We start from the raw sequence: 12,730 nt of genomic DNA, 5'->3' as shown, positions 1-12,730 counted from the left end.
TGTCTTATATGTGACTTTGACTTGAACTCTAAGAAAGAAAGCACTTTCCAGCCTCAGGGCCTTACACCTACTTCCCTGTCGGCCTGAACTGCTTTTCCTCAGACATCCACAGGGCTTGCTCTCTCCTACTTATCAGGTTTCTGTCCACAGGTCACCACCATAGAGAGGACTTGTCTAACCACCCTATCAAAGTAGCAGCGTACTCCTCCTACCATCACCCAGCACACCGATTCCTTCGTATTGGCTTAGTGTTTTTGTTGTTGTTATGGCATTTTTACCACCTGGCTATATATACATATAGTCAGGGCAGGGGCAATAAACAATTATAATTATATATATAAATATAAAAGATACATAGATACAAAGATAGATATTATATATAAATAACGTAATTATGTACAATTATTAATATATAATATATACTATATAAATTTGTAACACTACAAATTTATATATTATAGCTATATTTATATATAATACATATATTATAATATACATATATAATATATAATACATATAATATATGTATAGCATACATAAACTATATAGTATAGATATATAATTATATATTATTTATAATATTTGTAATATAAATTTATATATAATTATAACTATATATGATACATTATATGTGTATGTATTATACATATATAGTTATAATTATATATAAATTTAAATTACAAATATTATATAGTATATATCATTATAGTATATAATAGTATATATAGTATTATATATACTACATATTATATACAATTACATATACATTATTATACATAATATATTATATTATATATACTACATATATTTTTATTATACATATATTATATATTATATATAATACATATATGTATATATGTATATATGTATATTATACCTATATACATATATATGTATATATATGTATATACCTATACATATATTATATATGTGTATATATATGTATATATATACACATATATAATATATGTATATTATACCTATTACATATGTATACATATATGTGTATATTATATGTGTACTATATTACATAACATATAATTATACATACATATAATTTTACATGTGTTATATGTATAATAATTATAGTTATATGTATAATAATTATAGTTATATATGATTTATAATTTATATATAACTATATATGATTTATAATTTATATATAATTTATGTATGTATACAATTATACATATAAATATCCTTGTTTATTGCCCTGACCCTTCTCCCACCTAGAACATGAACTTTATCTATTGTTTGCCTGGCACCCAGCACCTAGCAGTAAGTAAACACTCAGCAATTATCTGCTGGATGAATGAATAAGGGAGAAGAACAAGAATGAAAGTCATCTATTAAATTTGTAATATGTCAGGCAGCATGCTAAGGACTTTGTGTACTGTTTCATGAACACTCAGAATTAGTCTATGATACAGGCTAATTATTATTGCCTTTTCCAAATTTAAAAATTGACTATTACAGAACCAGAAAGCATGGGAGGGTAGTCCCTACCACTGGTCAGGAGGCAAGAGTGAATTCCCACAGTGGGTCAGTTCTTAATCCCAACTCTAAGAACTCCATATCATTTGTGCAAGTTTGATTTCCAGGGAGAGATGCACCACCGTCCCTTGGTATGCTTTTTGTTTAAGTCTACACAAACACTCCTAATGTGATTTGGCTTGAATTATGTACTTGTTAGTCAATTGGTACTTTTACATTTCATCTGGTGCACTGCCACATAAATGACCCTGTCTTATTCAACACAAGATTATGTACTAGCCTGACTGCCCTTTTAAATTAAACATTACAAAATCAATACAGTATCATTAAGGGTACACTGCCTGAAGGGGGCGGGGGAACATCTTAAGCAAAACCCTTTTGAAGTTTTTTCTGGGTAGGGTTTGTGGGTTGGGTGGAAATTTGATGTTTAGAGCTACCAGCTTACATAGGCTGTGTTTTTATTTCTCCCTACACTATTTTGACACTTTGATGAATCACCCCAGTCTGGCAAACAGTGGGTTTGACGTGAATATCACAGCTTCTCCTATGATCATAGAGACATCCATTAAATGTGCATATCAGTGTGTTTTTATATATGTGTATATGTGTGTATAGATACCAAGATAGATGATAGATACACACATACACACATATATAGATACATAGATACATACATACATACATACATAGAAAGATAGATGGATAGGAAGGCTTTATGTCAATGTTCCTGTTACTAAATCATCTAATCTAAAATAGTGTGTGTTTGAGAAACAGCCTAAGTGATTCACTCTTAGTAAATGCCAAAGTAACCAAAAATATGGAAGCAAATGCAAAGGTGGAAGAAGAAAAAGGGAAACAAAACACGAGAAAACCCAAACCTGTTTTACAACTGAGATCAAGATAAATTATAGACGTGATATGCTTCTATAAAACAAAACGTCCTGAACTGGAGTCTCCTTTTTTCATGCAGAAGTTTCTTTGCTAGTGTAGGAGTAAGAGGGGCGGCTCTTCCTCAGAAGTTTTAGATATTTGACTTTATGTCTATATTGGGAGGCAGATTTCTGGTTAAGTCAATTTTCTATTAAAATTTATTCTAGTGAAAAACCCTCCTGGGGCATATCGTGCCACCCAACAGGTCTGATCAGACAGCTTCTCAGAATTCTTTGTCTAGTTGAAAAAGCATTGGATACCAGTCAGTAGCAGAATTGAGACTGTGATCTAATCTTATTACTCTGTGTCCCTGAAAATCACTTAGGCTCTTTCTCAAATGCACACTATTTTAGATTAGATGATTTAGAAACAGAAACATTGACATAAAGCCTCCCTACCACCCATTCATCCATCCATCCATCCATCCATCCATCCATCTACCTACCTATCTATCTATACACACACACAAATAAAAACACCCCTATATGCATACATATATATGAGAGGTACATATATATGTATGTGTTTATATATAGGCATGCATGCATACATGGATATACATGTACAGGTATGCATGTATTGTGAATAGCAGGCTATATGCTGTTATTCCCGGTTCTATGACACCATCATACACTAATTTCTTTCTCCTAATTCTGGAACTCTGTTTATATGATTGCTCCCAAGAATTGGGTCCAGGTGAGGAAAGAGATCATAATATGAAAGGACAAGATGAGGGAAATAAGTTAACAAAAGCTTTTGAAGAAGTAAAGTATTGTGAGTTGCCAGACAGCAAATAAATTAAATTTTGGTTTGACATAATTTACAAATAATCACCAACACCAACAAAGATACTATAACTAACCAAGGTCAAAATGTGTAATGAACAAGTATGAAAAACCTAGAGGCTGGGTGTAGTGGCTCACACCTATAATCTCAGCACTTTAGGAGGCTGGGATTGGAAGATTTCTTGAGTCCAGGAGTTCGAGACCAGTTCAGACAACAAATCAGTACTCCATCTCTACAAAAAATGAAGACTGAAAGATCACTGAACACAGCAGCAAGCGCCTGTAGTCCCAGCTACTTGAAATGCTCAGACAGGAGGATTGCTTGAGCCCAGGAATTTGAGGCTGCAGTAAGCTATGATTGCACCACTGTACTATAGCCTGAGTGACAGAACAAGACACTGTCTCAAAATAAATATATAGGTATATCTCCAGAACACATAAGAAACTTAGCAAAAATAAATAAAAAATAAATAAATAGCCTGATTTAAAAATGGGCAAAAGGTCTTAACAGACATTTCTCAAAAGAAGACATGCAAATGGCTGCCAGGTGTATTTTTAAACTGCTCAACGTTGCTAATCATCAGGAAAATCAAAACCAAAACCAAAATGATGAAACATCTCACTCCAGTTAGAATGGCTGCTATCAAAAAGACAAAGGAAAACAAGTGCTGGCAACGATGTGTAGAGAAGGGAACACTTACACACTTTTGCTGGGATTGGAAATTAATAGAACAATTTTGAAAAACATGAAAATTCCTCAACAAATTAGAAACAGGACCGAGCACGGTGGCTCACTCCTCTCATCCCAGTGCTTTGGAAAGCTGAGGCTGGAGGATTGTTTGAAGCCAAGAGTTTGAGACCAGCATGGGCAATATAAGAAGACCCTGTCTCTACAAAAAAAATTAAAAAATTTGACTGAATAAATAAAAACCAAGACCCTGTCTCTACAAAAAATAATAATGAAAATAATAATAATTAGCCAGGTATGGTGGTGTGTGCTTGTATTCTCAGCTGTAATACTTGGGAGGCTGAGGTGGGAGTATCACATGAGCCCAGGAGTTCAAGGTTACGGTGAACTATGATCATGTTACTGCATTTTAGCCTGGGCAACAGGGTGAGACCCTGTCTCTTAAAAAAGAAATTAGAAATAGAACTACCATATAATCCAGCAATCCCACTCCTGGGTACAAATCCAGAAAAAATGAAAACAATGTATCAAAGAGATATCTATACTTCTATGTTTATTACAACACCATTTACAATAGCCAAGATACAGAATCAAAGTGGCCAACAGCAGATGAACAGATTTTTAATAATGTAGTATATATACACAATGAAAAACTATTCAGCCATAAAAAAGGATAAAAGCATTTCATTTGCAATGACATGGATGGACCAGGAGGACATCATATAAAATGAAAAAAACAGACACTGAACGATAAATACTGCACAATCTCACTTATATGGGGAATCTAAGGTAAAATGAAAACATTCATATAATAGAAGCAGAGAATAGAGCTGTGGTTAGTAGAGACTGGGAAGGGAAGAATGGGGAGAGACTGGTTAATGGGTACAAGTTACAATTAGGAGTAATAGGGTGCTTTGGTGTTCTATTGCACAGGCGGTGTCTAATGTTAACAGTAAGGTAATATATATTACAAAATAGCCAGAAGAGAGCGTTTGAATGTTCTCACTGCAAAGAAATGATAAATGCATGAGGTGATGCTAATGACCTGATGTGATATTATACAACATATATGTGTTAAAACCTCAAAGCATACCCCATAAAATGTTCAATTATAATGTGTCACTTAAAAATTTAAAATAAATTTTAAAAATAGTTTTTAAAAGATTTTCTGTTTTAAAAGACTTTTAAAATCTCCAAGTAAACATGTTTAAAACTAGATGACCTTATTCTTCAGTGAGCTGGTAGCTCCAATCTGAATTTTTCTTTCATTCTTATCTAGGCTCAGAATTGTTGATATATCTTCGATATATCCCTTTCCACTTTTAATTTCTATCTGAGTCTTAACAGGGTTGTAGCTCAGACTGTCTGTGCCTTCAATCTTTTGTGCTGGTAAATATGGTGTTGACAATGATAGATTTCATAGAGACTGGCTAAGAATCTTTAAAGACAGAAGAAATAGAGATAGAGCTACTCATGTTTAAAAGACTGTATCACAACAACCAGCATTTTAGTTTCTACTATGGAATCAAGAACAAAAGTTATGAAAGCTCTCAGACTCCAATACCTGAAGTTCTATGGACTTTCTGGATACATCATTTGACAAAGACAAATGTCATTGTTTTTCGTCTGCTTTTTGCTCACCTTCCTAGTGCACATTTTATTTTCTATAATTGCACCCTTGGCATTCTGGGTACCTGTCACCACCTTACTAATAATGAGCCTCCCTTGGCTGTAGAGCTTAATCCCCTTTAAATTCAACTGGCAACTTGGAGGCTCATAGCATTCATGCCAGCTAAATCAAAGGCTAAACTGGTTGTCTCAAAATACAGTGTAATCATGCCATCTTCTCTGATTGATAATTCTCCACTCCCATTTCTTATAAAAATGATGTTGGCCTGGTTTCTGAGGCCATTAGTAACCTTGTGCTCATAAATCTAACTGATTTATCATTTACACTTCATGCCGTTTCATTCTTACTGCTTCTAAGTTGCTACCATTATTTCTAGTTCCAAGGCTTTGCAAGTATATTCTTTTCCATCTTTCTCTTGCCCCTCCTTCTCTCTACCTTTCCCAAAAGCACTTTTATCAAGGGTCCATTTTGAGTCTTCCCTTCCCCCTGCAATTTCCTCTCCATGTCATATTGAATATACTGACTTCTCTATTTTCCATATATTTATTTGATATTTATTGAAATTGTTACTTGAATGACTACTTTAACTATTTATTCCATGTGAGGCTTAATCACTACAATAAGTGCTTGAAGGGTTTAACACCTTTTTATATGCACCCTGAATTGGCTTAAATGTGGTATTCAGTTATTCCTTGAATAAATAAATAATTGCTAAAAGAAATAGGAACGCTTTTACGTTGTTGGTGGGAGGGTAAATTAGTTCAACTGTTGTGAAAGACAGTGTGGCGATTCCTCAAGGATCTAGAACCAGAAATACCACTTGACCCAGCAATCCCATTAGTAGGTATATACCCAAAGGATTATAAATCATTCTACTATAAAGACATGCACACGTTTGTCTGTTGCAGCACTATTTACAATAGCAAAGACTTGGAACCAACCCAAATGCCTATCAATGATAGACTGGATAAAGAAAACGTGGCACATATACACCATGGAATACTATACATCCATAAAAAAGGATGAGTTCGTGTCCTTTGTAGGGACATGGATGAAACTGGAAATCATCATTCTCAGCAAACTAACACAGGAACAGAAAACCAAACACCACATCAGTGGAAGTTGAACAATGAGAACACATGGACACAGGGAGGGGAACATCACACACTGGGCCTGTTGATGGTTGGGGGAAGGGGAGGGAGAGCATTAGGAAAGACACCTAATGTGTGCAGGGCTTAAAACCTAGATGACAGGTTGATGGGTGCAGCAAACCACCCTGGCACATGTTTACCTATGTAACAAACCTGCACATTCTGCACATGTATCCCAGAATTTAAAGTAAAAAATAAAAAAATTTATAATAAAATATCCAAAAAATTAATAAAAGTGTCAGATTAAAATGAAAAAAAGAAATAACTTTTAAAAGTTTGAGAACCAGATAAATGAACTCAGTATTTGATGAAATTAGATTTTTTTTTTTTAATGAAGCAGAGTGTATGACATGAAAAGGCGGGTGAATAACAGAGAAATGACTTCGCACCCCCGGGCACATTTCTATTTTTGAAGCAGGGAAAGATTAAATAGAGATAATTGGGAGTCACAAAATGTTTAAAAGTATAGGAAGTGAAGATCAGAGAAAGTCATTACTACCTTTTAGGAAATCGGAAAATTGCAGGAATGAGAGAAAATCGGGAATCAACTGACTTCAGCACAAAAGTGGAGGATTGTAATAGAATACCAGGAAACTACCTGCTAAATTTCATGTCTGTGATATGCAAAACACATGTACCTGCAAAGGTAATTTTTTTCTCTACTTCCAAACCTTAAACATGTGGCTTTTATTGGTAGAATCGAAATTAGAACACTACTCCTAAAGAATTCTGAAACATGAAGTTCCCAGCTGGCTTCTAGCCTTTGGTAGCTAAGAAGAAGACGTAAAAGGAGTGAAAATGAATATGGGTTGCTAATACGTGTGTGTATTAATAGAAGTTAGAGCTATGTGTCCATAGATTAAAGATTCCAAAGAAGTAGAAACAAACCTATTACCTCTGAAACCAGCCAGAAATGCTCCAGAAACTGAAAAAGTGGAATGCAGTGAGGTGAATTAGGGACTCAAAAGAGGAAAATGAAAGTCTGTACTTATAGCAGTAAACACCTCAAGTTCCTACTTATATCTCAAACAAAAATGTCACTGCTGGAAATAGAAAATTTTCAGTCTTAAATACTAAATGGTGGCCATGAAACATTTAAGGAATGCTTCAAATCCGCAACACCTAAAAAGGAAAATTCCAGAATAAAGGAACTCCAATAAGCAGAATAAATCTTAAAAGGATTTTTTTTTTTTTTTTTTTTTGAGGTAGACTCTCACTCTGTGGCCCAAGCTGGAATGCCAGTGGTGCAATCCCGGCTCACTGCAACCTCCACCCTCCTGGTTCAGGCAATTCTCCTGCCTCAGCCTCCTGCTTAGCGGGACTACAGGTGCCTGCCACCATGCCCGGCTAATTTTTTGTATTTTTAGTAGAGATAGGGTTTCACCAAGTTGGTCAGGCTGGTCTCAAACTCCTGACATCAAATGATCCACCCACCTCGGCCTCTCAAAGTGCTGGGATTATAGGCATAGACCGCCATGCCCAGCCAAAAGGAATAATAATTTAAGAACAAACTAAATATGGTAGTAAGGCCAGGTTGTAAGACATAGTAAATAAATTCTTCTTCTGAAATGTAGAAGAAAACAAACAAATGAAGAACCATAGGGGAAAAATAGAAAAATAGGGAATCAATATGAAAGGTTTAACATTTGCTTAATAGAAGTTTTAAAAATGTTCACAGAAAATAGGAGAAAATAATGAAAAATTAGCGCATGTATTCTAAAATTGAAAATCATAGAGATCAAGAGACATGATTGCATACCTATTATTTAGAAATACTGAAGTTAATGTCAAAAGAAAATAGCCACCTATGAGTAATGAGAAAGGGAGAGATGAGTTTATAGTCTTTTATTGCTATTTGACTGGCAACTATTACTTTGTAATATTTTAAAAAGAAAAAGTCAAAAAGCTTACTTCCAAGCATATCATCAGGATATATCAGAAAACCATAATAAAAGTCCCAAAACCATCTAAAGGTGATAAAAAAGGCTTTGTGAATAGAATCAGCCACAAAATAGGCATGGAGCTTTTAAACTAGAACACTGGCAGGCAGAAGATAATGTACAATGCTTTAATTTCTCTTGAAATTAATGCTTTATTTTTGAGTGAAAGGAAATAATCTTAAACCTAGGCTTCTATACCTAGCAAAACTATCAATCAACTGTGACAATAGCAAAAACTGTATTTTCTAACTTTGAGTCTCAAACACTTCATCTCACTTGCACTCTTTGTTCAGAAAGCAACCACATTAAAAATAAAAAGGAGTAAGCCAAGACAAAGAAACATATGTGCCTCAGAAATCTGGAATCCAATATAGATGCTAGGTGAAGTCAGCTTCTATATGACCACAGAGGAAATTCCCGGGGTGGTGGGGGGTGAAAAACATGTAATAATACCATAAAGTAGCCATCTGGAATGGATCAGGAAGTTGCATAGCTCTACACGGGAAGGCTGTGGTAAACAACCAAAACAAACTTTTAAAAAACTCCTACCTGATGTTTTATATTATGGAAAATTTTATTGACAGGTATTTGACAAAACCATCAAAATACGTGAAAAGTTTTAGTAACTAACTAAAAATAAGCAAATGTATGAAGCAAGTATTTATTACACTTAAAAGTTATAATTATGTAAGTAGTATAATACAGAAACAAAACAGAATAGGTTGCTTAACATCCTTATTTGCAATAGGAATTATGTTGGAAGTTATTAAATATTGATTATAATATTTGTATTACTTATATATTTAGCAGGTTTATTTCCCCCAGAGAACACTTAAATGGTCAAAAGTTCTTGTATCTGGGGAATGGAAAGATGAGATAGAAAAGTGAAAATAAGGGACTGATTTGTTTTTTATTGTAACATTTTGGTGCTAAATGACATTTTAACATATCTTTACCATTACATTTGCATGTATTAATGATATTTTGATAAAAGTATACTTACAGTGAGAAGATAGTGAAACAAGAAGTAAAAATCATACCAAAATATAGAGAAACATAGAGATAATATAACATAAAAAGGAAAGAACAAGGAAAACATGATTTGAAGACATGTTAAAGAAATAGAAGACAACTGGGAAAGGAAGAGGAAGAAAAAGCCTAAGTATTTGCAGACAGCAGATTCTCAACACTTACACTTTCAGAATAGAATCAGCCTCTCCATCTAACTTCCCTGAATGTCAGATTTCCCAAGGTAATGGTGAACAAAGTCAATGGATTATCTATAGAGAATTTAGTTTAGAATGTGTGTGTTCAATAGCCATCATGGAGCAATTTGGATTGCTCTATGATAAATTCTGATTGCTCTTGGTAAAGACTTACCAAGCCATATGCTAGCAAACAATGAATATTGTAATTGGTCTTTTTGGGCATCCTAAACTATTATTTCCTTATAGAAAGATAGCATTGTACTCCAAAATGGATATACAGTCTATAATGTTCAACTTTAAAATTTACAGCCAAAGGGAGTGTTTCTTCTTCTAGCTTGTGAGGAAGTTCTCCTTATAAGAAAGAAATGTCTAAATATTTATTTATTTATTTATTTTAAGGATTCATGCTTCTTTCTTTTTTATTATTATTATTATTATACTTTAAGTTTTAGGGTACATGTGCACAATGTGCCGGTTAGTTACATATGTATACACGTGCCATGCTGGTGTGCTGTACCCATTAACTCGTCATTTAGCGTTAGGTATATCTCCTAATGCTATCCCTCCCCCCTCCCCCCAACCCACAACAGTCCCCAGAGTGTGATGTTCCCCTTCCTGTGTCCATGTGTTCTCATTGTTCAATTCCCATCTATGAGTGAGAACATGCGGTGTTTGGTTTTTTGTCCTTGCAATAGTTTACTGAGAATGATGATTTCCAGTTTCATCCATGTCCCTACAAAGGACATGAACTCATCATTTTTTATATTCCATAGTATTATATTGCATAACATATTATATTGCATAGTATTCCATGGTGTATATGTGCCACATTTTCTTAATCCAGTCTATCATTGTTGGACATTTGGCTTGGTTCCAAGTCTTTGCTATTGTGAATAGTGCCACAATAAACGTATGTGTGCATGTGTCTTTATAGCAGCATGATTTATAGTCCTTTGGGCATATACCCAGTAATGGGATGGCTGGGTCAAATGGTATTTCTAGTTCTAGATCCCTGAGGAATCGCCACACTGACTTCCACAATGGTTGAACTAGTTGACAGTCCCACCAACAGTGGAAAAGTGTTCCTATTTCTCCACATCCTCTCCAGCACCTGTTGTTTCCTGACTTTTTAATGATTGCCATTCTAACTGGTGTGAGATGGTATCTCATTGTGGTTTTGATTTGCATTTCTCTGATGGCCAGTGATGATGAGCATTTTTTTCATGTGTTTTTTGGCTGTATAAATGTCTTCTTTTGAGAAGTGTCTGTTCATATCCTTTGCCCACTTTTTGATGGGGTTGTTTGTTTTTTCTTGTAAATTTGTTTGAGTTCATTGTAGATTCTGGATATTATCCCTTTGTCAGATGAGTAGGTTGCGAAAATTTTCTCCCATTTTGTAGGTTGCCTGTTCACTCTGAGGTAGTTTCTTTTGCTGTGCAGAAGCTCTTTAGTTTAATTAGATCCCATTTGTCAATTTTGGCTTTTGTTGACATTGCTTTTGGTGTTTTGGACATGAAGTCCTTGCCTATGCTTATGTCCTGAATGGTAATGCCTAGGTTTTCTTCTAGGGTTTTTATGGTTTTAGGTCTAACGTTTAAGTCCTTAATCCATCTTGAATTAATTTTTGTATAAGGTATAAGGAAGGGATCCAGTTTCAGCTTTCTACATATGGCTAGCCAGTTTTCCCAGCACCATTTATTAAATAGGGAATCCTTTCCCCATTGCTTGTTTTTCTCAGGTTTGTCAAAGATCAGATAGTTGTAGATATGCGGCATTATTTCTGAGGGCTCTGTTCTGTTCCATTGGTCTATATCTCTGTTTTGGTACCAGTACCATGCTGTTTTGGTTACTGTAAACTTGTAGTATAGTTTGAAGTCAGGTAGCGTGATGCCTCCAGCTTTGTTCTTTTGGCTTAGGATTGACTTGGCGATGCGGGCTCTTTTTTGGTTCCATATGAACTTTAAAGTAGTTTTTTCCAATTCTGTGAAGAAAGTCATTGGTAGCCTGATGGGGATGGCATTGAATCTATAAATTACCTTGGGCAGTATGGCCATTTTCACGATATTGATTCTTCCTACCCATGAGCATGGAATGTTCTTCCATTTGTTTGTATTCTCTTTTATTTCATTGAGCAGTGGTTTGTAGTTCTCCTTGAAGAGGTCCTTCACATCCCTTGTAAGTTGGATTCCTAAGTATTTTATTCTCTTTGAAGCAATTGTGAATGGGAGTTCACTCATGATTTGGCTCTCTGTTTGTCTGTTATTGGTGTATAAGAAAGCTTGTGATTTTTGTACATTGATTTTGTATCCTGAGACTTTGCTGAAGTTGCTTATCAGCTTAAGGAGATTTTGGGCTGAGACAATGGGGTTTTCTAGATATACAATCATGTCTAAATATTTAATATCAGTTAGGTATAATCCTTCAGTGATTTCCCAGTGCTCATGGGGTAGAGACTCCAAAACAGAATGGTCCCCAGGCCCTGTGCAGTCTCTCCTGTAACTACTCTCTTGGCTTATTGCATGTTTTTCTCTCTAAGCCAGCAATGCTCTTCCTCACTTCAGGGTCTTCTGTTTGTGTATTTTTTTTAATTTTTTTATTTCCATAGGGTTTTGGGGAACAGGTGGTATTTATTACACCAGTAAGTTCTTTAGGGGTGATTTGTGAGATTTTGGTGCATCCATCACCCAAGCAGTATACGCTGAACCCAATTTGTAGTCTTTTATCCCTCACGCTCTTCCCACCCTTTCCCCGAGTCCCCAAATCCATGGTATCATTCTTATGCCTTTGCATCCTCATAGCTTAGCTCCCACTTAGGAGTAGAACATATGATGTTTGGTTTTCCATTCTTGAGTTACTTCACTTAGAATAATAGTCTCCAATCCCATTCAGGTTGCTGCAAATGCC

This window comes from Homo sapiens, chromosome 10, assembly GCF_000001405.40.
Source record: "Homo sapiens chromosome 10, GRCh38.p14 Primary Assembly".
NCBI lineage: Eukaryota > Metazoa > Chordata > Mammalia > Primates > Hominidae > Homo > Homo sapiens.
The sequence above is the reverse complement of the archived record's forward strand: the minus strand, read 5'-3'. Positions refer to the sequence as shown.